The 27,722-nt window shown below is 49.5% G+C and overlaps 1 protein-coding gene and 1 long non-coding RNA gene across 30 annotated transcripts in view, besides 5 other annotated features; both read left to right on the top strand.

Moving 5' to 3' along the window:
* Positions 1–27,722, top strand: part of ARHGAP22 (Rho GTPase activating protein 22) — a 226,435-nt gene that overhangs the window by 135,310 nt on the left and 63,403 nt on the right. For 2 of the 29 annotated variants that reach the window (NM_001256026.2, XM_011540005.2), the window contains exon 1: positions 27,306–27,517. The exons of the other annotated variants lie outside the window; for them this stretch is intronic. In NM_001256026.2, coding sequence (NP_001242955.1) covers positions 27,466–27,517 — 52 coding nt within the window. In that variant the 5' untranslated portion in view covers positions 27,306–27,465. Of the gene's footprint in view, positions 1–27,305; positions 27,518–27,722 lie in introns of those variants that run through there. 29 annotated transcript variants of the gene reach the window in all.
* Positions 602–1,188: an enhancer, noted in NCBI's record as "H3K4me1 hESC enhancer chr10:49727811-49728398 (GRCh37/hg19 assembly coordinates)". NCBI's record gives its function as "activates a minimal SCP1, AML or CMV promoter by ChIP-STARR-seq in naive H9 embryonic stem cells {active_cell/tissue: H9 hESC(naive)}" and the evidence as "EXISTENCE:reporter gene assay evidence [ECO:0000049][PMID:30033119]".
* Positions 1,189–1,778: an enhancer, noted in NCBI's record as "H3K4me1 hESC enhancer chr10:49727221-49727810 (GRCh37/hg19 assembly coordinates)". NCBI's record gives its function as "activates a minimal SCP1, AML or CMV promoter by ChIP-STARR-seq in naive H9 embryonic stem cells {active_cell/tissue: H9 hESC(naive)}" and the evidence as "EXISTENCE:reporter gene assay evidence [ECO:0000049][PMID:30033119]".
* Positions 2,893–3,526: an enhancer, noted in NCBI's record as "H3K4me1 hESC enhancer chr10:49725473-49726106 (GRCh37/hg19 assembly coordinates)". NCBI's record gives its function as "activates a minimal SCP1, AML or CMV promoter by ChIP-STARR-seq in primed H9 embryonic stem cells {active_cell/tissue: H9 hESC(primed)}" and the evidence as "EXISTENCE:reporter gene assay evidence [ECO:0000049][PMID:30033119]".
* ARHGAP22-IT1 (ARHGAP22 intronic transcript 1) lies at positions 9,367–11,104 on the top strand. The gene is made up of 2 exons (NR_146782.1): positions 9,367–9,421; positions 10,017–11,104. It is a non-coding gene; the product is annotated as an ARHGAP22 intronic transcript 1 (long non-coding RNA).
* Positions 12,001–12,986: an enhancer, noted in NCBI's record as "H3K4me1 hESC enhancer chr10:49716013-49716998 (GRCh37/hg19 assembly coordinates)". NCBI's record gives its function as "activates a minimal SCP1, AML or CMV promoter by ChIP-STARR-seq in naive H9 embryonic stem cells {active_cell/tissue: H9 hESC(naive)}" and the evidence as "EXISTENCE:reporter gene assay evidence [ECO:0000049][PMID:30033119]".
* Positions 23,416–23,710: a silencer, noted in NCBI's record as "tiled region #14185; HepG2 Repressive non-DNase unmatched - State 10:DNaseD, and K562 Repressive DNase unmatched - State 5:Enh". NCBI's record gives its function as "represses a minimal TATA promoter and a strong SV40 promoter by Sharpr-MPRA in HepG2 and K562 cells {active_cell/tissue: HepG2 | K562}" and the evidence as "EXISTENCE:reporter gene assay evidence [ECO:0000049][PMID:27701403]".

Here is a 27,722-nt window from a genome sequence, read left to right as displayed (position 1 = left end):
CAAGGTGGAAATTTGGAGGAAGAAGGTGGTACTGGAGCACAGCATGGAGTCAGCTTTGTTCCAGGGCAGCGAGGGGCAGGAGCGGACTGGTAGGCCCTTAGATCCTGACACGTGCTCATTCTCTGCCACCGCTTCATCTCCAGCTGCCTTTGGAGCTCTTCGCCCCTCACCCTTCCTGCTGCTCTCAGCAGCAGCAGCTCTTCCTTGCCTTCTGGGGTTTTGCCCATGACCAGGTCCCATGCTCTTCCCGACATCCTCACCCTCCCTCCCGTCAACTCCTGTCAGCCCATAAACCTGCCTGAGTTGCTCAACCAAAAATTCAAAAACAAAACCAACAAGACCAATTTCTTGTCCCTGTCTATGCTCCATAAGCCCTGCCCATTGTTCCTCCCCTCCTTTCCCAGCACCAGGGAACAGTGTGCCCAGCCCTGAATCCCCTTTGTCCTCCTCCCCACTCATCCTGGCCCCCCTGTCAGGCTCTGCCTTGAAGGAGATCATCTGCACTGGACCAGATGACCAGTTCTGACGCTCTGAGCACCTGCGGGCCTGCTCCCCTTAGGCCCCTCCTGGGCTGCTGAGGGCTGCCTGAGGACTGTGGCTCCCTGAATGCTGCAGCAGAACAGCAGAACCAGGGCTGAAGGCAGCCCTGCCCTGCTGGCTTTTGGCTATAAGTTTGTTCACCTTCTGAGCTGTCTCCCTCAAGGCCCTGATGACTGTGATTGCCTCTAAACAAATGCCTCCGAGATTCCCTCTCCAAGCTCTGCAGTGCCTGTCTGCGGCCTGCAGATCCAGAGCCCCTCATTAGACTCCAGTGCAGTCCCGCACTCCCACTGCCTCTTCTGCTTTCCTGGCTCTCGACCCTGCCCTCTTCTTCATTTCTCACAACCAATGGCTGATGGCTCCTGTGCTCCTGCCCTGGAGGCCACCGCAACACCTGTGCATTCCCTCGACTTATCGCCTTGATGGCACTGCTTCCTGGCTGGCCATCCTGAGTTCACCCTTGCCCCTTCTAGTCCACTGCCCAAGCCAGCATCCACCCACAGCTCTGGAGACACTATGATCCTCCTCAAACCCCACCTTGGCCCCAGACTGCCTGCAGAAAAGGCTCAGCTTCCCAGCCTTGCTGGCACTGTGTTCCCCCCTCCCCCTCCCAGGCTCCCCAGACCACCTCTCTGGTTTCCGCACCACACCACTTCCTCTCAAGATGCCATCAAATGGGCCTGAGGGCAGTCGAGCCTGGGCAGGTGGCCTGTGCCCGAATCCATCTCTGAGCCCCAGCCCTCGGGCCCAGTTCATTTCATTCCCTTTGGTGCGGTGAGCCTGGGTCTGCCGCTGGGGATCACTTTGTCACCTATGTGGCCTGGCACCACACTAGCACAGAATCTGTACTTGTGAACAGTAGCAAGAGCAGAGTGTGGGCAGAGACAGGAAACCATTGAGCTCACCTGCTGGCTGGCCCCAGCCTATTGTTGGGTTACCCAACACCCAGCAGATCCCAGTGGCAGTCCACTGTGTTTATCACTGCATTGTAATAGATGAGCTCTGGGCATGGGTTCCTGCAGACCCTGTGCCCCTTTGCTGGTGGACAGAGTATAGGCTCTGCCAGGCTTGGGCTCACTGGGGTGCCCAGCAGCCAGAGTACAGAGGCCAGTGGACCTGGGCAGGAATGCTGTTGCTGGTCTGGTGCAAGATGAGGGGACAGAGTGCCCTGCTCTGTCTTGGAGGGAGAGGTCAGGAGGCATGGCTGTTACTGACTGGGTGATAGGACCGGTTCTGCTGTTCTGCTGCAGCATTCGGGGAGCCACAGTCCTCAGGCCAGCACAGTGGCTGCCTCCTGCTCTGCCATTCCGTCTCTGCTCCTGTCCCTAGGGGCCTGCACATTCTGATGCTTCTTGCTTGCTTGCTCGGCCCTCTGGCTGGCAAACTCATCAGAATCTTTAGTCACTTTCCTGGCTCAGGCCTCTGACCCCTGGACACCTCCATTGGATGTCTCCTGGGCTAGAAATTGGCCAAAGCTAATCGGGCTAAAACTGAATTCTCAATTTCATCCTTTTCCTCCAATTTGCCATCCCCACATCCTGCCAGTTCTATTTCCAAAGTGCACTTGAATCTTTCTGCTGTCTCTATGCTATGCCAGCACCTGCAGCCCCATCTGCTGCAGTGGCCTCTCCCAACAAGGCCTCCCACATGGACCCTCCTCAACTCCAGTCCCTTCTCCAGTAGCCAGTGTGGCCTGTGCAGGTCACCTGCGGGGTCTCACTGCTCCCTACTTGCTCACTGCATGCTCAGTGGTTCCAGTGGCAGTGACAGTTGATTCTCAGTGCCATACGCTGCTGGCCATGTGGTCTCCAGCTCCCCACATCCCCATCCTCCTCTCACACGTGGCCTGCTTTTGCTTCCCTCATTTCTCTCTGCCTGAAGTCACCTTGCTCCTTGTTTGTCTGGGCCTAAGTGTCACTATTTCCTGAGAGGCCTTTTCTGACCCCTGTTGTTTGCTCACTTGCCATTATGTATTTTTCCTTTAAAACACTTACCATAATGTGTAAATATACATGTGTCATTACTTTGCACAATCTGTTCCCTCACTAAGTGAGCCAGAAGCTCCCTGAAGGCCAGGGCAGACTCTGTCTTATGCTTGCTGCTGGGAAGGCTGGCAGAGGCCAGGCGAGGTGGCAGCCCTCATGTCTGACTTGACTTTGAAGGCAGTGGTGGGCTGACGTGGACAGATCTGAGGCCTGGAACCACATGCTGGGATGTGGTCGAGCCTTGCCGTCCTGCGGGCCTTGCTCAGGAGACTGAACCTTGAGGCTTCTGGCTCCACTCGATTTCTGAGAAGGGCCGCTCTTTGTGACTTCTTCTCCACTCGGTGTCCTGCACAGCAGCCCTGGGGGTTTTTCAAAAAGGGAACCAGCATCCAGCAGAGAAATTTGGTTTCATTTCCTAGCCAGGCCTCCCCCTCACACCTCTGAGCCTCTGCCCTCCCACCTGCAATGGGGATAGGCACGCAGGCCTCAAGACTGTCAGAAATGCCAGCAGTCGTCCCAGCTCCCTGCCACTCAGAACCTCAGTTTCTTTAGTTTCTTTATCTGGAAAGAGGGAAACAAGCGTAACTCGATGATCTCTAGGTCACTGGTGGCTTGAACTTTGATGATTCTCTGAGGAAACCCAGAACTGCTGGTGTGCCTAGCAACAGGACACGAGAAGTCCCGGCACCCCCTCCTACCTGCTTGGAGAGGAGTCCTGTGGCCTTTCAGCTGGAGGGTGGGGGCTCGACAGCACATAGCCGGGGTCAACGCTGCTGGCCTCCAGGGTTAGGGGGTTGGCTCTCATGGCTCCAGAGAGGAACCAATCCTGAGGAAGCCCTAAGTCCCTGACCTCGGCCCTTAGGGCAGCAAGTCTCCTAGAGAGCTTCAGAGGTCTGAACTCCCGAAGGGAAGAGGAAGAAGAGGCTTGGAGGTGTGTTTTCTCATCTTGTTACTCTGTGGTCCTTGTACCTGTAGGGGACCCTCCTTGGTCCCCAGGAATCCTGGAACCAAAATGGGGAACACCTCAATGAAATGAACCCCTAAAATATCTCTCCCTATCGCCCACCCCCAGCCAGCTATGTAGCTAATGCTTATCCTGCCTAAGTTGTCTTTTGCCGGCTCTTCTAAACATCCTATCACTGGACTCTTTTAAACAGCTGTATTGAGGTGTATTTCATGTATTATAGAAATTAATTGAATTGAATTGAATTTGAATTTATATAATTCAGCAGTTTTTAATGTAGTCACAGAGTTATGCAACTATCACCAAAATCTAATTTTAGAACATTGTCATCACCCCGGAAAGAAACCCCATGCCTGTTGGTAGTCATGTCTCATTCCAGAAACAACCCTCCCCGTGTCCCCTCGTCCCCAGCCCTGCAGCCTAGGCAACCATGAAACTGTTTTCATACAATAAATATATTGTATTTTTGTGATTGACTTCTTTCACTTAGCATAATGTTTTCAAGGTTCATCTATGTATGGCTACTTCATTCCTTTTTAAGGCTGAGTAATATTCCATAGTATGAATATGCCACATTTTGTTTATCCATTCATCAGTAGATTTGGATTCTATTTTGCTAGTTTTTCTTGAGGATTTTTTATCTGTATTTATAAGAGATATTGGTCTGTAGTTTTCTTGTGATGTCTTGGTTTTTGATATCGGAGGACTATTGGCTCCATAGGAAGAATTGAGAACTATTCCCTTTCTTCTGTTTCTTGGAAGAGTTTGTGAACATTTGGTATTAATTCTTAAAATGTTCAGTAATACAAATTTTAAATTTCTTTTTGAGTTGGTTTTGGTAGTTTGTGCCTTTCTAGGAATTTGTCTCCTTTATCTAAGTCATCTAATTTGTTGGCAAACAGTTATAGGTTTTGTTTATTTATTTATTTATTTATTTTTGAGACAGGGTCTTGCTCTGTCATCCAGGCTGGAGTCCAGTGGTACAATCATGGCTCACTGCAGCTTCAAACCTCTGGGCTCCAGCAATCCTCCTACCTCAGCCTCCCAAGTAGGTGGGAGTCAAGCACATACCACCACACCTGGCTAATTTTTAATGAAAAAAAGTTTAGAGATGGGGTCTCATTGTGTTGCCCAAGCTCGTCTCAAACTCTTAACCTCAAGCAGTCCTCCTGCCTTGGCCTCCCAAAGTGCTGGGATTACAGGCATGAGCCACTGTACCTGGCCACAAACTCTTTTTCATATTATCCCTTACAATCTTTTTTATTCTGTAAGTTTGGTAGTGATGTTCCCTATGTCATTCCTGATTTTAATAATTTTATTTTTTTCTTGGTCAGTCTAGCTAAAGTTTGTCAAACTTGGTAATTTTTTCAAAGAACCAACTTTTGTTTTTATAGATTTTTAAATTTTTCCTATTGTTTTTCTAGTTTTTTTGTTTTTTGTTTTGTTTTTTTTTGAGTTAAGGTCTTGCTGTGTCACTGAGGCTGGAATGCAGTGGCACAATCATAGCTCACTGCTGCGTCTAACTCCTGGGCTCAAGCGATCTTCCTGCCTCAGCCTTTTGAATGGTTGGGACTACACGTCCCAACTCACCCCTAAATACCCAAAGATGCTAGCACAGATGCCACTATGATCAGCTTCTTGAGTATTTAGAAGGGAGTTGTTCAGTTTCCACATATTTGTGAATTTCTCAAATGTCCTTTTTTATTGATTTCTAATTTCATTCCTTGGTAGTCAGTGAATATACTTTCAAACTTTGTTTTGGTTAATCCTTTAAAATTTTTAAGGCTTACTTTATGATTTAGTAAATGGTCTATCCTCAAATATGTTCTGTGTGCATTTGAGAAGAATGTGCATGCTGCTGTTATTAGGTGGAGCATTCTACAGTTGTATGTTAGGTCTGCTTGATTCCTTATGTTATTCAAGTCTTCTGTTTCCTTGTTGATGTTCTGCCTAGTTTTATTTTTGAAAGTAGGATATCAAAGTCTCCAACAATTATTAAAATCTCCTGCGTTCTGTTTATTTTTGTCATGTGAATTATGGGGTTCTGTTTATAGGGGCATATATGTTTATAATTGTTTTATCTTCCTCCTGCAACTACCCTTTTATCATTATAAAATGTTCATCCTCTTTGTATCCAGTAACATTTTTGTTTTAAAGTCAATTTTGTCTGATATTTGTATACCCACTCTAGATCTCTTTTGGGTATTGTCTTTATGGTATATCTTTTCTCGTCATTTTACTTTCAACCTACTTGTGTTTTTTAATGTAATGTGTCTCTCATAAGCAGTAATGGTTTGATTATTTAAAAAATTTATTGGCCAATCTTTGCCTTTTTGTTGGAGTATTTATTCCATTTATATTTAATGTAATTACTGATAATACAGATTTATGTTAGCCACTTTGGAATTTGTTTTCTATACATGTTATATCTTTTTTGTTCTATTTCTCCATTACTGCTTTCTTTTTGTATTAGATAGAAATTTTCCAGCATACCAATATAATTCTCTTATTGTTTCTTCATGGTATTCTTTTAGTTATTTTATTAGTGGTTATTCTGGGGATTACAATTAGCCTCTTAATTTAAAACAATATAGTTCAGATTAATACTTCAGTGGTTTACAGAAACTTTGCTCCAATATAACTTTGTTCTCCCTGCTGCCTGACTCGTTGGTGCCATTATTGCCATACTAACTATATCTTTATGAATTACTGGAGTTTTGTAAGTACTGCTTTGTGCAGTTATCTTTTAAATAGAAGAGCTATAAAAATACATTTATTTTGTCTTTTATTTTTAACTATATATGTGCTCTTCATTTCTTAATGTGGATTTCAATGAACATCTAATGTCCTTTTATTTTTCCTGAAGGAGTCCCTTTAGGATTTCTTGTAGGTCTGATCAGCTAGGACGAAGGACTGAATATTCTTGGTTTTTAGTTCTCTGAGAATGTCTTCTCCATTTATGAATGATGGTTTTGCTGGATATAGAATTCTTGGTTGACTGTCATTTTTTTCTCTTTCAGTATTTTGAAAATGTTGTTCTGTTGCCTTCTGGTTTCCATGGTTTCTGATGAGAAGTCAACTGTTAATTTTAATGAGAATCTCTTGTATTTTCTCTTGTTTCTTTCAAGATTCTTTGCCTTTGGACAGCTTGACTATGATGTGTCTAGGTGTAAATCTCTTTTTTTCAACAAATTTGGGAAGTTCTAACCATCATTCCTTTAAATATTCTTTCTACCTTTTTTCTCTCCCCTCTCCTTCTAGGACTCTCATTTTGTGTATTTTGGTGCACTTTATGGTGTCCCATCAATTTCTGAGGTTCTGTTCATTTTTCTTCATTATTTTTTAGTTTCTGGACCTCAGACTGGCTATTCTCAATTAACCTATCTTCAAGTTTACTGATTTTTTTTCTTCTATAAGCTCAAATCTGCTGTTAGAGCCCAAATAGTGATTTATGTATTTCAGTTATTGTACTTTTAAATTCCAGAATTTATATTTGTTTCTTTTTATAATTTTTATTTCTTTATTGACATTCTGTAATTGGTGGGACATCATTGTCACACTATGTTTTATTATATAGACATAGTTTCCTTTAGTTCTTTGAACATATTTACAGTAGCTGATTTGAAGACTTTATCTAGTAAGTATAACATCTAGGTCAAGGACAGTTTATATGGACTGCTATTTTGTGTGTGTATGGGCCATACTTACCTATTTTTCTTGGGTATCTTACAATCTTTTGTTGAAACCTAGACATTGTAAATAATATAATGTGGCAACTCTGCAAATCAGATTTACCTTCCCTCCTCAGGTTGCTGTTGTAGCTATTTTGTTTAGTGAATTTCCTGAATTAAATCTGTGTTCCCTGTTGTATGCAGTCACCCAAGTCTCTTGGTTAGTTTATTGGTCAGCCAATGATTTGTCAGAAATATACTTAAGTGTCTTGAAGCAATAAGTCTTCTACCCTTTGAGGAGAGTGTGTTTGCACATGTATGTTTGTGTGTTGGCGCACACTTCCATTGCTTAGGAAGTTTGTGACTCTGCCATAGTCTTCCCTTCCTGCTTGTGCAGGGACTCAAAATCAGCCAGAGATGAGAGACAGAGGCCCTCTCACGTCTTTCCTCCACAATGGCATAGCGCTGCTCAGGCATATGGCTTTCTGGATCTCTAGGAGTATATCATGGGTTTTCAAAGCCCCCAGTGGATATCTCCTTCCCCAGATCTGCAAGTTTTGGCCAGCTCTTGTTTGCCCCAATTGGTATCACAGCTTTAGGCAGCTGTAATGTTAAGGAATTGCTGCTGATTGTTTTTGACAAATGCCCTGGAATTAGATCTTTTCCTGCAGAGTGAGCTCTGAGTCAGATCAAATATGACAATGCTCTCTCAGTGTCTGTGGAAGCACGGGGGATTAAAAAAGAGTGGGTGGGGGAGAAAGAGAGAAAAAGCAATGTTCTGTAAAAGGGGCTTTTTTAAGAAGTTGCAAAACAGATCAAATTTTTACAGTGCTCTAGGAATGAGAATCTTTGAGAAATGAATTCATACCAAGGTATATGAGCAAGTTCTCAAGGCTTCTCTAGATGCGGCCTTGTCCCCCTTACCTAATCTTTATCTAAATGCTAAGTGGTGACATGGAGGTGGGTTAAGGTACCCGAGGGCTTGGTCTCAAGGAAGCAGTGTGAAATGTTGGAAGCTCTGGAAGCTTGGAGCTGGGCTGACCTGGTTCTGAATTCTGGCTCTGCCATCTACTGTTTGTGCAGCCTTTGGATGGGATGCTTCTCTGAGCCAAAGAGGGATACCTTTGTCTGTAAATTGGGATGTCTCACTAGGTTGTGTTAAGGGAAGAGTTAAATTGGCCTCTGTGTGTAAGATTGCTAGCACACAGAAAATGTCCCAAAATGGAAATGATTATTATTTGGCTTGAGGCTTAGGTTAAAATGCTAAAAAGTGATGAGACCAGTATTGTTTTGTTGAAATAAAAGCATTTTTAACACATAAACATTATGCGTCAAGCCCTGTTTTAAGCACTTTCTATGTAGAGTTCATTTAATCCTCATGCTAGCCCTCAAGTGGACTTTATTAATTGTCCTGTTTTAGAGATGAGGAAGTTGAGGTGCAATTTCCTGCCTAAGGCCACCCACGGCTGGGATTCCCATAGGCTATCTGGCACCAGAGCCTGCGCTCTTGTATCTGTTTCATGTTAATACTACACAACTGAGAAGCCGGTGTGCACTTTGAGAAATAGCAATGGAGAACACCAAAGGACAATAAGAAAAGCAGCATATGCCATTTGCCAATGAAACTGGCAACAAAAGGCCTGGGACATCCCCTAGTCAATCCAGTTTGGAAGAAGTTAAAGGTCAGATACAAACTTCCCCATTGTGGCTTCAGCCTATCCAGGTTCCTCTCTGAGAATCAGTCATGCAGAGAGCCTGCTCACCACTGGAGTTCCTCTTGAGGTAGGGCTCTGTCCCTGGAGCAGCCTCCTCCCTGCCCACTAAGTCTGCTCAGGCTGTTGTTGAGACTGGGGGCTAATTGGGGGAGGTGGCCAGGGACTGCTGTTCTTCAGCCTGTCACAGTCAGATCCACTTGCGAGCCCACAGAAGCGGCAGAGAGGATTTTTAACTCAGTGCTCATCTTGACAAGCTGGTTCAGTGCTGACCCTTACAGGCCAGGGCCATTCAGGACCAGGCAACCCCACCCTGGGATTTGTTCAGTCATTATGACTTGAACAGTCAATGATGTCATTATCAAGTATCTGGTGCATTCATGCCTGGCCCAGCATGGACGCTCCAGTCCTCTTCTGGGGACTTACGGGCCACTTTGTTATGATGAGTCCTGGGCCCTATGGAGCCATTGTTGAGGATTTCCAGCAGCACCCAGTCTGCATCAACAACTTCTGGAAGCAGAGAGTCCCTGAACCTTGGAGCAAGGAGAGGTATTTGAGATTAGGTTGTTTCTGCTTCCTCCGTTTACCAATAGGGAGAGTCGGATGGAGAGAGGCCTGCATCACCCTCTGGGGCACATGGCTTGTGTGGAGGGAGCAGCAGCTCCTTGGGAGTTGAGGGTGCAGAATCAGGGGCAGCGTGGATGGCCTTGGGGTCAGGCCACCCTGGGCTCAAATCCTGACTGTTGCTGTGCCACTGAGCATGTGCCTGAGCTCTCTGGGCCGCAGTCTCATGCTGGCTGGATGAGTGGCATCTCAGGGCTGCCGTGTGCCACGAAGGCACCGAGAGCAGGACTTGTGCAGGATGTGCGTCCACCAGTACCACACACCATCTTCCTGATGAGGGCCAGGGCAACCAAGGTCCTTTGTAGACACCAGCACCTTCTAACTTGGTGAGGTCCTGGCTGCCGTGCCGTGCATGGAGTCACCTGCCTGCAAACAGCCACTCTCTATCCTGCTCCAGTCCAGTTTGAAAAACAAGCAAGGTCTATTCCAGTGAAGAGCCACCAGGGAAGAGTCAAGGAGGGCATCTGCTGTTCAAACCCTGACCCCCTCTTGCTAATGATGGCATCACGCTTACTTTTAGATGTAACATACAGCCTCGGAGGGGTTGGAGGAGAGGTCCATGGAGATCACCTGGCTCAGCCTTCTCGTTTTCCAGATGATTTTTTTTAGTCCAAAGAGACTAAATGACTTGACTAAGGCCACACAGCATGTCAGCGGGCCAGCTAGGACTCCACCCACAGCCCCTGAGTCTGGGGATCCCTGTGCTCTTGGCTCTGAGCAAGGCTGCCTCACTTCATTTTAGTTTAGTCTGTGTGACTTGAGCACAAGTTCTGCACACAAAACTGTGCAAGGCCACTAATAGCACTCACAGAGCAGTGCTATCCCTTCCTTCCTTTGAAATGGTGGAGGTGGAGACAGTACATACAAGAGTTACTCAAGACAAGGATGAGGGTGCAGGGAGGAAGCCGAGCCCTTCCATGCCACCTCTGAGACAGCTGGAGGGCATAGCCGCTCCATGGCTGCAGCCCGGTTTAGAATGTGCCAGGGGTGGGGTCAGGCACCGCTTTCTTAAATGATCTTTCCTCTGTTGTCTCAAGACATTTTCCAAGTACCAGACAGGACAAAATGGCTTAGATGTAAGCCTCTCTACTTTGCCGCAGGCCCCAGTGCTCTCTGTTGTCCCACCTAGGCTCCTGCTGCCTGCCCTGATGTCTGCAGATTCACTTGGTCAAGAGGAGTTCCTTCTATGCCTGCTGTGTTTTTCAGCCATAGCACAGAACTGTTTTATGGGGGGAGCATGCTCATGCGCTAAATCAGTGGTCTCTCACTCAGGGAGGAAGAGAGGCCAACATTTGCTGAGGGCTTACTGTGCCCTGGGTTCTCAGCTGTCCCCACGAGGGGGTGCAATGCCCTTGGTTTTAAAGAGATGAAAATATCAAGGCTCCAAGAGGTAAAAAACTTGCCCCAGGCCACCTAGATGTGGCTGGTGAAGCTATGTTTGAACCCACCGCTGACTAACTCCAAAATTCATATTCTTTTCTCTTCTCTCGGCTGTCTTCCAAGTATCCAGAATGGACTGTCTGGAAAGCGTTCTGTTAGTACTTCTTGACTGTGGGACTACAGGTCTTTGAGTTTCTCCTAATAAAGTGATTTCTGATGAAAATCTGAGAACATCCTTCCTTCCTGTGCCCCCTCCTCCATGACTCGTCGGGCGTCTTCAGAGCCTGGAAGTCCCTGGAAATCCGGAGTAGCAGGCACTGAAAGGATGTCACGGCCCCCTCCCTTTATTCAGAGAGCCTCTCCTTTCCAATAACCTTCTGGGAAGGCACTGATAGTGGGGAGGATGGGGCTGTGCGGGGAGGGCCCAGCGAGTCTGGGGGAAATGAGGCTGTGGAGCCCCGGAAGAGGCCAGGGTCACCCAGCATCCTGCCCTGCCTCTGCTGTGAGGCCCCATTGTCCTGGCTGGAGCTCCCAGGCTGGCCCGCCTTCGACTTGAGCATTCATGAGCCTGGCTCTGAGGCCCATTCCAAGTTAGTGCTATTTGTAGAATCTTCTTAAAATACCACAACAGTGTCATTCATGGAGCGTCTGCACAGCCATCGATGGTAGACATCAGAACAAAGCTCCGCTGTGCCTGGCATCCTGTTCTGGCCTCTGCTGGAGGTGTCCCCTCTGCTCCACTGACTGGGGATGTTGGTGTCCTCCCTGTCCTGGGTGCTCCTGAGCGATGCCCCATGGGGTCCAGCAGAGACTCTGGTCCCCCACGCTGGCCAGGAGCACATCCTGCGCCAGGCTCGCCAGCTGAGTGCAGGATGGCATGCTGCACTCTGCAGGTGAGACCACTGCCCTTCTCATGGCTGTCCCCACACCCCCAGCTCTGACGTCAGACTTCAGCCCAGAGCCTGCTCAGCTACAGTTGGGTGGACTGACAATGAGCAAAGAATAACAGGGGGAACCCAGGAGAATAAAGCCTTTAGCATTCAGTTTCAGAGCCGCGGGCATTCTCTGCCTTCCCCTGTGGGCAGACCTCTGTTTCCCATTAGATAACAGTGGTATCCTCACCAACTGCATCTCTCTCCCCTGCCCCAGTGGTACCCACAAGGCATCCTTAGGAACGCTTGCTTCTGGCATGTTGATTGGTGTCACTGTTAGTTAGCAATGCATTTTGTGGTACCTGGGATAAGTGGAGCAGTTTCAGGGCTTTCCCAGCTTCTGGACCTGTCAGAGCCTTTGCTATGTGAATGTACCCTGCCCTGGGCAGTGCCTCCCATACAATTTACCCTCAGGCCCTTCCTCACACAGCTGCCTGGCTGGGCAGCCTGCTTTGGCCTTCCCTGGCCCTGCAGGATGCGGGTGTGGCTAGAGCTCCTGGCAGTGGGCCCATCTGTTCAAAGGGTTTGATGACTTCCCATTTTTTTGTCTTTTCCCATGGATCCCTACCCATGAGTTGCATAGGCAGCCAGACATGGCTCCAAAAGGAGGTGACTTTGCTGGTCCTGGCCCATGCCTGAAGACAAGGGCCTGCAGTGGGCCTCACAGTGGATCTGGGAGTGGCTGATGGGACCCCCTCCCGGGTGGGAAAGGCTTAGGCAGCCAGGACACAGCAGCCCTTGCTGGGCAGCCATGCCAGCCGCACTGAAGTGGAGTTTTGAGTTTTCTAAAAGTATAGCCACTTGTCGTCAGCAGGTCCCCAACATGTCCCCAGTAACAGCTGGTCATGAGGCACACATGGCCGCTACCTGAGCAGTGGTGAGGCTGTTATACCCAACTGCAGCAGGAAAAGTGACCTTTGATGGGGAAGTTCTGCCTGGGAGTCCAAATATGCCTGGGGTGAAAGCTGGGCCAGAGGCTGAAGTCCCACAGGTGGTTTTGGGATTCTCAAAGCATTACCATGTAATGAACAAAACCCGCCTCAGTAAGGAGAGTGGCCACCCCAGCCTTTGAGCCCTGACACTTGGAGTCTGACCATCCCAGTGGAAGGCAGGGATGGCCCGAGAAGCAGGTGCCTCCAAGACAAGCAGGTCCACATGACTCAGCAGCTACAGGGCTTCAGGCAAGGGACTTGGCATTTCTATGTTCAGATCCCCCCCCACCCCCACCCCCACCCCACCCCCACCCCCCAGTATTTCCGAGCCTCAGTTGCTCACGGTGTAATTACTGTGTCTGGCTGAGTGGGGGCTGTTACTGGTGGCTTCCTATCCTTAAGCGAATTACAAAGTAAATGGGAGGTTTTGTGATTTCTTTAGCCTGTGGCCGCCCCCACTTGAGGTTGTGAGCAAATTCGGGATTGACTGCTTGTTGTCCTGGTGTCCTCAGCACATGGATACATGGGTGGAGACTGTCCCATGAGGACACATGAAACTGCTCACAGGTGCCACTTTGTGGGAGAGGACCCAGCACACAGAGGTGTGGGGCAGGAGGGAGACTGACTTTTCACTTTTCACTCTGTGTGCCTGCACGGTTGACTTTTATGTTGATGTTGCTCACCCTTTCCCCAAAAGGCTAACCTTTCTGAGTCCTGGCATTTCCTGTTTCTTCTCTTGCTGTCAGCCATCACCTCCTGATGTCAGCATGGCTGCCTCTGTCAGCTCTCCCAATCCTTTTTTAACTGCCTGTTCTAATTTACGCATATCATAAAGCAGTGAACTGCACTTGCTAGAAATGTATGCAAAGTAAGAGTCAGCAAGCCCCAAGTAAGGCCCTCGAAGGTCAGTCGTTTGGCTCATAGGGGACCTTCACCTGTTTGGCCTTTCCCAATCATTGTTTTGCGTGTCCTTGGACTCTAGATGGATGAGGTTGACAGATGGGTGATTTCTAGATAAACCAGGTGTTACTGTGATGCTCTGTGTATGGAAGGGACAGGAGTCACCCTGGGTCTGGCAGCTTTTCTGGCTCTGCAAGTTCACATGTGGATGGCTAAGATGATGATGGTGCTTGGGAACAAGGTCATTTTTTAGCGTGTTTTCCAAAATTAGTGCTGAACCCTATCTTGCTGGGGTACTGGTGGGGGGCGTGGGAGGCCCTGAGAGGCTGGAGGAGTTCAGGTTTTGCTCCCCAGCCCTGTGAGCTTTGCCAAGGGGAATAGCGCTGAACTAAGAGTCTAGCAGACAAAGCATAAAATCCTAGCTCTGGCCTTCTTGCTTGAGCAGTTTCCTTCTGCAGAAAATGGAAAAATAAGACCTTCCTGAAGGTTGTCTACAGGCTTGAATGCGAGAACATCTAGGCCCTCGTGTCACATAACTCTAGGGGCACCATTCACATAAGCTACCATGTTGCCTCCAGAGGGCACCATTGATTTAGACTACAGTGAGAGTGGCTGCCTTGGTGGGGGCGCATGCACTTAGACTACCATGTGAATGGCTGCCTCCTGGTGTTGTGCTAGGGAATGGTGCTGGATGACAGTGAACCTGTGAAACTTCTATCCTAGCACTAGCAAGGGTACTTCTTACGTGTCTGGATGCTTATACCTGGCCTCCAGGAAGGAGGCAGCTTATGAAAATAGTACAGTCATGTGCCACATCATGACGTTTAAGTCAATAGATTGCATATGTGACAGTGATCCTATTATAGTATTGTATTTTCATGGTACCTTTTCTCTATGTTTAGATACATGAATACTTCCCACCGTGTTATTATTGCCTGCAGTATTCCACACAGTCTCATGCTGTGCAGGTTTGTACTGTAGGAGCAATGGGCTGTACCATAGAGCTTGGGTGTGCAGTACCTGTACTGTCTAGGTTTGTGTGAGCACACTCTGTGGGGTTTGCACAATGGCAAAATTGCTTAATGACATATTTCTCAGAACGTATCCCTGTCACTAAGCGGTGCCTGACTATATGTTGTTTTTATAAGAACCTAAAGAACTTGAGTGAAAAAGAGTGGGAAGGACATTTGCTGAGGCCCTGAGGTCCCACCCAGCTGCCGAGGAGGGCCCACTGCTGCCTGACCTTACAGGAACTCCTCGTGAAGAGGGAAGGAGCGTCGGTGAGAGATACGTGGTGGCCAAATCAAATTAGGGAAGTTTCTCACATGCCTATAGATTTTGTGGTTCAACAAATGTCTGCGTGACTAGCCAGAGAGGGGGCAGAACTGGGATACGGAGTATTGGGCCGGTAGAACACGGGTGTGGAGAGCCACAGGCCCTGGCAGCCTCTGCCATTTGTCAAGCCACTTTCCCTTGGGCTGCAGCTTCTCCAACCAGCCCTTACAGGCTCCTTACAGGCCTTGGCTACATCTCCAGCATGCCTCCACCAGGCAGCCCTCCTGGCCTACCCCTCTCTCCATCCCAGCCAGGAGAAGCCGTCTGAACACACCTCTAGGGAGGCAAAAATCCTCCCAGGGGATCCCCATCCACCCATCCTAGGTTTCCAGGAAGGAACTGGGAATGGCCAGCCAGGTCCTGCCCCAACCACAAGGAGGAGTTCTGGAGCCACCTCCAGCCTGGCTCTGGGAGGTTTTGTGATGCAGAATTGGGGATGGGGCTCGGTGGCAGGAGAGCAGACAGCCTGGCAGGACAGCCAGGAGAGCAGAGTCAGGCGCACGGGACTCCTGCATCTGTATTTTTGGAGCTGCTGGACGTGGTCTCATGGTGGGGATGGATTAGGGGAGTGGGATGGGAGTGGGGCGATGCCACCAGCATATTTTGTTTGATGCTTACAATTACAGACTGATTTTTATTTATTTATTATATTTAGTCTAAAGTGTACAGTTTCCCAAGGCGGGCAGATCACCTAAATCAGGAGTTCGAGACCAGCCTGGCCAATATGGTGAAACCTCATCTCTATTAAAAAATACAAAAATTAGCTGGGCGTGGTGACAGCCACCTGTAATCCCAGCTACTCAGGAAGCTGAGGCAGGAGAATCGCTTGAATCCAGAAGGCGGAGGTTGGAGTGAGCCGAGATTGTGCCACTGCATGCCAGCCTGGGCAATAGAGCGAGACTTTGTCTTAAAAAATAATAGTAATAATAAAATGTAGTTTCTGGAGACAGAGAAAGCAGGGTGTGGTGGGACTTGGGGCACCCCCTCTCCCCATTGCTTGCTTGGGCCCCTCTGCCTGCCTAGGCTCCACTCACACCCAGGTGCTTGAACCCCATGCTCTCAAATTTCCTCTCAATTCATCACTACCGGGACTCTTCCCACCCCCTCTCTCAGCTCACCCCCAACTTATGAGCAAGTTCTGCTGAGTCTCAGATCCAGATAGGCACTGAGCCTGGGTGCCTGTCACCACCTGCATCCCAGCCCATGTGGCCCCAGCCTCTGCTTCCCTCCCCTGGACACCTGCCAGAACTTCCTATCTAAGCTCCTGACCCACTCCTGCCCTCCTCAGCCCACGGAGCCCCACAGAAGAGCTCAGGAGTTTTCCCACCTCGGGGCCTTTGCAGTTCTCCTGTCCATCTGCCAACCGCCTCCCCTGCTCATCCTTTTGTGCCCAGACCAGATCTGTGCAAGAAAGCCAGCCCCTGCTGTTCCTGAGTTCTCAGCCAGAGGATCCCCTCCCCAGAGTGGCTTTTCCTGACCCACCCCATTTCTGTTATCCCATCCATCTGAGCTCTCCCTGCCACCTTGGTTGGCTCCCTGTCCTTTGGCTGGTTCTCCAGGAGAGCGGGGGCCTTGTCTCCCTTGTTCACCCACACACCCCATCCAGGCCACCCCATATGTCAAGCACAGCATCCTGCACACACCAGAGTCTTGGGAAGTACCTGTGGTCTCACTGGAAGAATCAGCCTCCCTGCCCTTCAGGTTTCCTGCATGGGTCCAGCCCTCTGGAGAGTGGGGAGCTAAGGTTCCAGGGATCACCCTTGGCCATTGGATGACTGGAGCCAGGGGATCCTTCCTCCCCTTTTCATCCCAGGACTGGCAGTCCTGACACACATTTCATGAGGCCAAATGGAGTCCCCAGGCCCCCAGGGCAGCAGGCAGCTTATCCAGCTTCCCTGTGGGGCTCTCCCTCCTTCCCATCCCTCCTTCCCCATCCCGCACTTCTCCCTGGGATAGCTTCCTGAACAATAACCTTTTCCTCAGGCTTTGATTTTAGGGAACCCAGGTTAAGACACACTGTTAGTTGGGGGAAAACGTTCTCAATAGCAACCCAAAGTAGAGAAAGGCACAGGCCAGCCGGGGTTCATATCTGCTTCCTATTAGGCCACATTGCTCGGAGTTACTCATTTAGCAAATGTTGATGTGTTCACTCATAGCAGAGCACTCCAGCAGGAGTTAGGGGAGGTGCAGGCACCACTCATACCCCAGGAGGCCCGGAAGGGGCACTCCAGGTAGGTGCCAGCAGGACTTGGGCTGAGGAGGGGACATCGATGCACATTGCAGTTCCATCACTTACCAGCCTCCTGGACTTGGGAGGTTCACCCAGTGGCCTGGGCTTCTCCCGGCACCATGGGATGGTAGGGAAGGACAGCGGGATAATAGCCTGTACTTCCCAGAGTTGCTGGGAGAGGAGCTTCACAAAGCATGTACGTGGTGTTAGCAGGGTGGTGGTGCCAGTGACGGTAGCAGCAGTAGCCGCAGCAGCAGGTGTGGGGCCTCATTAATCTCTGAGACTGACATCGTTTATACCAATGTAGAAATAAATAGCCCTCCCCTCCACAGAGTCACTGGACAGGTTGACACTGGAAGCTGGCACTGAGTAGGTGCCTCATAAATGTTAGTTCCTTTTTTGTTCCTTAGAATAATGAGTTGAGCCATCCGTTATTCCCTCCAGGTCACTCAGCATCAGTTACATCAGCCACCAGGCCACCATTCGTCCCCACAACCCCTCTCTTGAACATTTCGGAACATGGTCTTCAGCTGACAGTTAACATATTCCATTTAACATGCTGCTGTTTTAACTTATTTTCTTCTCCCTCCAAATATTTTTACATTGGTGATGGCACCACGTTCCTTGGTGTTTTCCAGTCTCAGCCATGCATTCTTACTGCGGAGGCCTGGCCAAGTCCTGGCTTCTCCAAGGTCAGGAGACGAGGGGGCCTCGTCCAATCAGCCTCAGAGCCAGGCGAGCCCAAGCCGTGGGTGGAGGTGGCTGAGAGGATGCTGTTCTGAATTTATGCCTTTATCCCTGACCCCAGTAGGCCCCCGGGATCCTTCCTAGCATTGACTGCTTTGAGTTTGTTGATGATGTTGGTTAATGCCTGTCTCCGCTACCGGGCCACTCTCTGAGAGGCAGAGACTCTTGCTTTTGTCACTGCTGTGTCCCCAGTATGTGGCACAGTGTCTGGCACATGGTAGACCATCAATAAATATTTATGGGAGGAAGAATGGGATATGGAAATTTGGGAGTGGATGAAGGGCAACGGTTGGGGAAGGTGAGGGAGAAGTAGGGATATTTGAGCTGGGTCTTGATGAATGAGTAGGAGTTTGCCAGGTGGCCAGGTGGGAAAGGCACCAGCATGTGCAAACACCTGGAGGCATGAAGAATGTGGTGCTTCCTGGCAATAAGCAAGAGGGCAGGGCACCTGGAGTGTCCGGTGAGATGGGGAGAGCTGGCTGGGGCTGGAAAGGTGCTCTCCGCTCATCAAGCAGGAGCCCAGTGGGAAGCAGCAAACTGGGACGTGTCCTGAAGACAACAGGGTAAGGCCATGATGTAAGATTCTCAATGGAGAAGGGAAAGTTCTGACTGCACTGCAGAGACCACCCCTTGGCAGTGCCTGGGCATTCCCCAGCTGTTCCCACACTCTTCACTTCTGCAATTGTCCCTGGGAGAAAAATCAGAGTCCTCCTTCCCCCACGAGGTACTGCCCAGGGCAAGATCACACACTGATCCCCTAAAAGCCCCAGCATCCCCAGAATCACAAAGGAAGATTCTTAGGGAGAGGCTGGTTTTAAGAAGTGAAACTCTGCTATGATTATAAGCTAGTGAAAGGGGAACAGAGCTGAAACCATTTGGAGGACATTTGGGGCATTTTCCTAAATTAAAAGTACTCAAAACACAGGGCTGGCTTAACTTCTCCAGCACCAAACACAAGTTCCTGACTCTCTCAGCAATGAAAATAAACACAATCTTCAATCAAGACAGTCATCTGTGCCTGTGAGAATCCAATGCCAGCACTTCAGAGCCTCTCCTGAGAGGAAGCTGCTCCTCCCCTGCTCCTGAGACCCTCCCTTCTCTTCTGGGAGCTAGCCTGGGGCCCAGTATCCAGCTCCTCCTTCCAGAAATAGGCATGCAGATCTATGCACCTCTGAGTATATATCATCCATTTACTTTTTCCACATAGTAACGGAGCATCCCGTATCACTTCACACAGTTTCACCACCTTCTTTTTTTTTTTTTGGATGTACATAATTTAATCAATACATTATTTAATTTGATGAAAGGTTAAGTTGTTCCCAGTTATGTTTACTAACTTTTTATGCACGTGTACAAATTTATCTGAAGAGTAAATTTCTAGGAATAGATTGCTGGGTCATTTAAAATGTTGATATATCTCAAATTATTCTTCCAAAGAGATTGTCAAAACCAAAATCTACTTCTAGCAACAGCTCGAAGGTCTGCCCACTTTCCTCACCATCCCCATCAGGTGTATGCCTTCAGCTGCAACCCCTCCCTTGAGATGCTGGTAAACCAGCCAAGAGCACCTCCCATGGGGAGGCCTCAGGGGCCCTGCACTGGCCTTACCCACACACCTGGAACACGTGGTGTGAGAAGGCTCATTTCACCTGTCACTTTATATTAAACCTCATTTTCATTTGTTTTTTAAAATAGGTAACAAATAGTACAACTATCAGAAGGCACAAGCCAGTCTCCCTGTTTCCCTGCCTTCCAGCCACTCACCTTCATCCCCAGAAAAAGCCACTGTTCTCTTTCTCTGTCCAGAGATACTTTGTACATATTCAAACAAATCTGGGCATAAAGTACACCCTCATTTTTTAATACCTGCAAAGCATCCCATTTTATGGATATGTAGCTGGGCCCTCTCCTTTTGCCATTTGTCTTTTCACTTTCTTTTCTTTGCCTTGCAACTATTTTTAACTTTCATGTAGTTACATTTTCTTTTGTGGTCTCTTGTTTTTGAGTCATACTTAGGCCTTCTCCAAAATTTTATACAAAATTTCTCCCATGGTTGAGCCTGGCACTTTTATAGTTTCATTTTTCAACTTTAAATCTTTTTTTTTTTTTTTTTGAGGCGGAGTCTCACTGTGTCACCCAGGATGGAGTGCAGTGGCGTCGTCTTGGCTCACTGCAACCTCCACCTCCTGAGTTCAAGGAATTCTCCTGCCTCAGCCTCCCGAGTAGCTAGGACTACAGGTGCCCGCCACCACGCCCAGCTAATTTTTGTATTTTTAGTAGAGACGGGGTTTTTTCACCATGTTAGCCAGGCTGGTCTCGAACTCCTGGCCTCAGGTGATCCGCCCACCTCAGCCTCGCAAAGTGCTGGGATTACAGGTGTGAACTACGGCGCCTGGCCTTAATCTTTGATCTATTGTGTATTTTTATTTGGTTGTAAGGTGTGACATAAGGATTCAGCTTGATTTTTCCTCATGTGGCTCTCCCATTGTCCCTATCCCATTTATTAGAGAATCCCACCTGTCCTCACCCCTTTGAAAGAGCTCCTTAAACATTCCAAACTCCCATATGTGTGTGAGTCTTTCTCTGGTCATGCCACCCAGTGCTGTTTTAATTACTGAGTAGCTCTACTCAGGTTTTTGTTGTTGTTTTTGTTTTGTTTTGTTTTGAGATAGAGTCTTGCTTTGTCACCCAGTTTGGAGTTCAGATCACAGCTTATTTCAGCTTCTTGCTCTGCTGAGGTCAAGTTACCCTCCTACCTCAGCCTCCTGCATAGCTGGGATTACAGGTGTGCGCCACCACACGTGGCTAATTTTTTAATTATTATTGTCTACAGAGGTGGGGTCTTGCTCTGTTGCCTAGACTGGTCTGGAACTCCTAGCCTCAAACAGTCTTCCAACTTTGGCCTCCCAAAGTATTAGGATTACAGGTGTGAGCCACCATGCCTAGCCTCTATACTCTCTTTTAATAATTGGTTGGGCTGGTCGGACTTCACTATGTTTTCTTTCAAAAGTGCACTTGCTATTTTTGCTTATGAACCTTAAGAATCAACTTATCTGGTTTAAAAAGAAATGCTATTCATATTGTGTTAAATTAATAGACCAAATTAGAGAGAATTGGCATCTCTATTATGCTGCTGGCATCTCTATTTTCCTACTTATATACATAGAATGCATTTCTGTTTCTCCTAATTTACAAATAGATTGTTCTTTTTATATATTAATTTCGCACCCAGTTGATTTACTGGATTCTTTTATTGATTATGATGGGTTTTCAGTTCATTGACTTAGAACTTCCACACATATAAACAAGTACCCTGAAAAATAATTTAACAGCAGGAGTAATAACAGCTCACCCTCCTCTCCAGCTTTCATAGTTTTCCATTCTTTCTCTTGTCTGGTTGGTGAACCCTTCCAGGGAAATGCTCTATACCAGGGGCTTCATTAGACGTGCCTGTATCGTTCCTGGCTTTGATGGGAATGGTGCCATTGTCTCTCCACTGAATGCAGTGTTGGCTTTGAGTATATCCAGGTGAAGAAGCCACCTGTTCTCATTTAACAAAGAATATTTATCAAAATGGATGTTCAGTTTTGTCAAGTGTCTTTTCAGATTTCCCCTTAGACTGGTGAGCTGCAGGCCGCCAGTGTGCACCAGCAAGCCAGCGAGGCCTGCCCATGCCTGGCAGCTTGGGGAGGAGGTGGTGCAGCTATGTGGGCGGCCTGTGGCTCTCACGCCATCTGTACCATCCTGCTTCCAGCTGCAGGAAACAGGAAAGCCCATGTAACCTTCCAAAATCAAAGGAGCTATGTTATTCTTACAGACCAAGAAACCCAGAGGGAGGCAGCCCCCCGGGCTGGTGATTCGGGGCCCCAGCACTGTCAATGAGGACATGGCCTCCCCCTGCCCCTTCACCCGCTTTGGACTATTGGCTCTGCTCGCTGGCCGGAGTGGCTGCAAGATGACCACCAAGCGACCAACAGGCAGGACACGCCCCTTCCATGGAGAGGGGTCTCTTGGTGGAGTCCTTCTTAGACAGGAGGGAGCCTTTCTCAGATGTCCCTCCAAGAAGCTCCCCTTGGGTCTCGGTGGCTGCATCTCTAGTCTTAGGGCAGCCTGTAAAATAGAACTGCTTTTCATTTCTTTCCAGATCTTCTTTAATGAGTGATAGGTATGCACCTCTTTCAATGGCTGCCTGTCATTCCATCACCTTTGTGTATCCTGGTGTCCCATTCCCCTGCTTTGGTCATGATGTTGCTTCTGGTATTGGATTGGCTTTTGTCATTGCCTGCTTGTTTGGGCATTTTGGGTTCTGAAATGTTGAGTATGGACTCTGTGGCTGCTGCCCTTCTTACGCCAGCTAGAATTGTACTTTTGGCTCTAGCGCATCAAGAGGTGCTATTGTGTGCAGAGCGGGTATGAGAACTCCACAAAGGATAGGGCAGGGGGCCGGGCAGAGGGAGGCTGCAGCGGGGCCACTGCTTGGGGATGCAGAGGGCTCTAAATCCTTGTGCTGGGACTGGTGGGGGTGTTGGGGTGGCTTCCTCTACATGTGGGCCACTTCACTTCACTGGCTCCTGGCTTGGGCAAGGGGCCAGAAGGGCCATCATGTGGAGCACCTGGAGGCTCTGAGGACCAACAGGTGCCTGGTATTTTTGTTCAGGGGCCTTCATTGTTCGCCAGCACACCCCAAGGAGGAGAGGGACTCACCAGGTTTCTAGGTGCCCTGGTACAGCTATGCAGTGTGGCTGCCGTGGTCCCTGCAGGGATGCGAGAGTAGGTAATGGGAGACTCATCTGGGCCGTGTCCTGCTCGGGCCAGCTTTCTCCTTTCACCACAGGATCACATCTTTCTTCTCAGAAAACAGAGCATGTGGGCTCGTGATGACAGGCCAAGGTAGATGTTACCCGCAGGGAGCCTTATGCAAGTTGGGGACCGGCCCGAGGCACTGCATCCTCTTTCTCTGGAGTACACACACAGCAACTCTAAGGGATAGACAGAGGCAGAGCCCTAGAGGAACCATGGACACCTGAAGTTTCTGCTGCTCTCAGTCTATCGCCTCCCCTCCTGATATTCTGCCCTTTATCTCTTCAGGCCTGCTGGGAGGACCCTGGAATGGCCCCCTTCTCCTACCCCATGACAGCGACAGAGTCAGGGCCCAGGGCCCACTGCAGTGCTGCCCTGGGGGATGGAGCAGAGTGAGAGGGGTCCGTTTATTGAGCCCCTGGGCCTTGCAGTTGCTGCGAGTGGCAGGAGCTGCACCTGGGACTGAGGTATTGTGGCCAAGGGGGACCTGGAAGACAGGGCAGGTGGATGGTGAGACCACAGGTTTCCTTGGCTTTGTTCCTGTGTCCCCGGTAGTGCCCTGCCTCTTCTTTCCAGAGCTGTTTTCCTGGAGGGGCTCCTTCCTCCCCAGACTGCTCAGCTTGTACTGCAGCACACTGCGAGGCCTCAAACAGCCGACCCCTTACACAGCGTCCGCTGACCACCGGCACTCCCTCTTCAACATCCTCTTCCCTCCTTCCCCTCTGCCTTCTGCATCTCCTTTTCTCTCTGCATTTATGGCAATAAAAACACTTTCTGGAAACATAGAAGTGAGTCATCAGCCTCCTCCTATCCCTGGCTGAGCGCTGCTGAGGAGGAGGCAGGAAGCAGAAAGCCCAGCTGCCCTGGAGAACCCCACCTACTCTTCACCCATGCCAAGGAGACAGAGCTGTGGCCCAAGGCCTACCCTGGGGAGACAAGGTCAGGATCCTGCTCTCCTTCAGGAGTGGGCTTTGCTTTTGCAGCTGAGTAAGCACATCTTGCCGTTTTGATAATTTTTCCATGGGAGACCCTAGCCCTGTATGTGCAGGCAGTGGATTGTCCAGGTCCCATGATCACCACCTAAGAGCAGGTGGGAGGTGTCAAACCCCTAGGAGGTCAGCAGCATGCAGTTTCTCCTGACCAGCCATGGGCAGTTGGGAGAGTCAGGGTCCAGGGCCCAGTGCAGTGCTGCCCTGGGGGATGGAGCAGTGGGCCCTGGGCCCCCTGCACAGAGCCCCAAGGAATCCGGTATACCCATTTCACTCTGAGCTAGGACCTGAGAAAGCCGAGTGTGAGTAGCTCACGGCCCAGTGGCAGTTAGGGCACCTTGGTTCCTACCCCCCAATCTCCAGAGGTGTACTACACAGCACCTCCACAGCCAGGTTTGTGAACTCCATAGGGCAAGATGCAGCCCCCCTCCATTACTGCACTGAACTAGGAGGGGGATTCCATAAAGTAGCAACCGGCACACGGCAGTACAGACTTCCTTACCTAGTGTTACCGGCTGTCTTCCTACAGATATTCTGGCAGGCACCAGGCGATTGTTCAGCAGGCACCCGGGGACAAGGATCTTAGGTAAGATCCTAGAGAAGGAGGTCAGGTCCCAGCAGCTAAGGTGAAGAGAGCGGCCAGAACAGGCAGCCCTGGAGGCAGCAGCTCTGGGCTGGGAATTCTTGCTCTTCCAGTTCTTACCTATGTGACTATGAGCAACAAAGTCCATCTCTCTGAGCCTCAGTTTCTTTATCTGTAAAATGAGAATCATGACACCTATCTCACAAGCTATGGAGAGGATAAAATGCCATAGTCTATGTGATTGCGTGTATGTGGCACATGACTGGCGCATAGTAGGCTGCTGTTGTTATTTAATGTTATTACCGTCCCCATCTTTATTGGTACAGGAAGAGATGTGAGGATTGTATATCCTCATACCACCAGAGCCCCACTGTCCAGGCCTCTGAAGACAACCGACCATAAGGGGGATGGTTGTGCTTCAGGCTATGTTTTGACAAAATGGGGATTGCATACATCACCTTTGCTACATCATAGATTACCCCCCAAGCCTAGTGGCTTAAAACACAAACATTTATTATCCCACAGCTCTGTGGGTCGGGAATCCGGGTGTGGCTTGGCTGCATCCTGTAGCTTGGGGGCTCTCACAGGCTCATCACAGAATTGGCTGCAACTGTGGGCTCATCTGAAGGCTTGACTGATGGGAGATCCACTTCAAGCTGAATCACACGGCTATTTGTAAGGGACAGTCCCTTGAGGGCTGCTGGACAGACCACCACAGTCCCTTGCTGGCTGTTTCTGGAGGCTTCTCTCAGTTTCTCACCACGTGGGCCTCCGCCTCGGGCAGCTCCCAGCAGGGCAGCCTGCCTCAACACAGCCAGCAAGCCAGAGAACAAGCGAGGGAATGTGAGAGGGAAGCCACTGTCTCTTTGTGACCTAATCTCAGAAGTGACATCCTGTCAATTTTTGCCACATTCTATTCATTAAAAGCAAGTTATTAGGTCCTGCCCACCTTCACGAGGAGTAATTACACAAGAGTCTGACTACCAGGAGGAAGGTTCACCGGGGGCCATTGCAGAGGCTGCCCACCAAGGGATGGAGCCTGGAGCACCCACTCTGCAGCCAGACTGCCTGGGGCATTCAGATCCTCAGCTATTAAGAGTGGGCTGTGAGTGGCCAGTGCTTTAGGCACCAGTTGGCAACTAATTTCCCTTGGGTGACCGGGGGCAGTTGGGAAGATACATCTTATTAGTCATGTGACCTTCGACTAATTATTCAACCTTCTGTAGCCTCTGTGTTCTCATCTGTAAATGGGGTATCATCATTGTAACACCATATCAGGTGGTTGTGAGGACATCGAGATAAAACACGAAAGCTTTTAGGATGATGCCCAGCATATGGTGAGCACTCAATCAAAGCTGGATATTTTAATTAAGAGAGATTGCCTGTTACCTCCCAGAGCCCTCCACATCCCCCTCTGTGACTGCTGCCATTCACTGAACCCTGAGCCTTTTCCAGGCACTAGACTAGTACCTGGGGACACCAGGAAGAACAGTCATACATTCCTTCATAAGTCGTACATTCCTTTCACAGAGACAGGCAGTAAACACGTATGCAGACAAACAAGCTGCTTTCCAATCAGGATAAGTTCTATAGAGAAAGTCGTGTAAGACTAATTGGGTGGGAGGGCGCAGCTCCTTGACGAAGGCTCTCACCCAGGGAAGGATTCTGTAATGTACATTTGAGCTGAGGCTTTAAATGAGAGGGAGTCAGCCATGCAAGGAGGTGGGAGGGCATTTGGAGCACCTGAGAGAATGCAAAGTTTCTGGTGGGAAGAGGGTGAGCTTGAGGGAGAGAGGGTGCTAGAGTGGCTGACAGCAGGACATGGGCCGGGGGAGGAGAGGTGGTCCGAGGGACCTGGAGGCCCACAGTCACATCAGAGTTGGGTTTTATTCCAAGAACAGTAGGCCCTCTGAAGGGTTTCCAGCAGTTGTGCTTTGCCCTTAAGGGGCTGCTTTTCTTTGCTGGAGAGGTGGACAGATGGGTGGATGGATAGATGGGTGGATGGATGGACGGACAGATGGATGGATAGATAGATGGGTAGACAAATGAGCAGATGGATAGATGGGCAGATGAACAAGTGGACAGATGGATGGAGAAATGGGGGAGATGGGCAGATGAACAGGTGGCATCGGCACAGGCGTAGCCCCTTGCTCTGTACTTACTGAGCAAAGTTTGGTGCTCATTGCCTCCCTCTGCCCTCCAGGGCTGCCTGAGGTGTGAGCTCCTGAAACCACATCCTGGGAGGGGCGACTGCTGCTGGAGGAGAGGAGACCAGGCTAGGTGAAGGAGCTGCTTCCTGCTCCCTTTGTCCCAGAGGCAAGGGAGACACCATAAAGGCAGCAGCTGACTGGCGCACAGAATCCACAACAGCTGAGTTCAAATCCTGGCTGTGCCATTTCCCAGCGTGGTGACCCTGGGCCACTGAAAGCTCACGGAGCGTCAGCTTCTCTGTCTGTGACACAGACCATGTGTCTACCTTAGAGGATACGGAGGTGCTTACCAAGTACCACGTGCAGGTGCCGTGCCCAGCCTCTGGCTTCTTGGTCTCATTCCATCTTCACCACAGTCCTGGGAGGTGGGTTTAGTTATTGGCCTTGTTTTGCTGATGAGAAAATGGAAACAGAAAGATTAAGTAACTATCTCAAGACCATGTGGCATAAGCACTTACATCAGGCTTCTCCCATGCATTCATTAATCTCCAATACCTGGTGGGTGGGTCCACCTGGAGAGAACCCTGAGGCATAAAGCTAGTGGCACTGAGCTGGGGTTCCCACATGCCAGATAAATAGGATGGACACTCCCCCCACCTCAGGGAGTCAAGAACACAGCAGGACAAGTGCACAGGGTGGCAGGCACAGATGCGGATGCAGAACAACCACGCCGACCTCCCACTGGCGGGGATCCCAGCAAGTCCTTCTTGCCCCGCCCCAGACAGTCCCAGCCTTCGGGCACTGATAAATGCAGAAGTTCCCCAGGAGAGACAAAAGGCCTCAGCCTGATGCCCACAGGCAGAGCACACAGGCAGCCGAGTGGCCGCAGCCCTGCAGTGGAGGAGTGCCTCGTGCACCTGGTGGTTTTCTGCACCCCAACAGGTGTGTCTGGCCACTGCTCCTCTCACTGCAGCCCCCGCTGCTCCACACCATGCCCTTCTGGCCCATCAGGTGTCTGAAGAGGAGCAGGCGTATGCCCAGGGGTAAGTGGATAGCTGGAGTCACTGGCAGGCTGTGAGGACCAGGCTGGGAGACTGGGGAGGGCGATTAACCCTTGAAAGGGAAGTGGTGTTTGGTGGCCGCAACCAGGTAAAGAGAAATGAAAGACATGAATGAAGACTGGGAGGACAGCAGGGAGGTTCAGCCTGGTACATCTGGCAGGGTGAGGCCGCCGCTAGGGATCCTGTG

This window comes from Homo sapiens, chromosome 10 (assembly GCF_000001405.40).
Source record: "Homo sapiens chromosome 10, GRCh38.p14 Primary Assembly".
Taxonomy (NCBI): Eukaryota; Metazoa; Chordata; class Mammalia; order Primates; family Hominidae; genus Homo; species Homo sapiens.
This window is presented reverse-complemented; position numbering and strand designations above follow the sequence as displayed.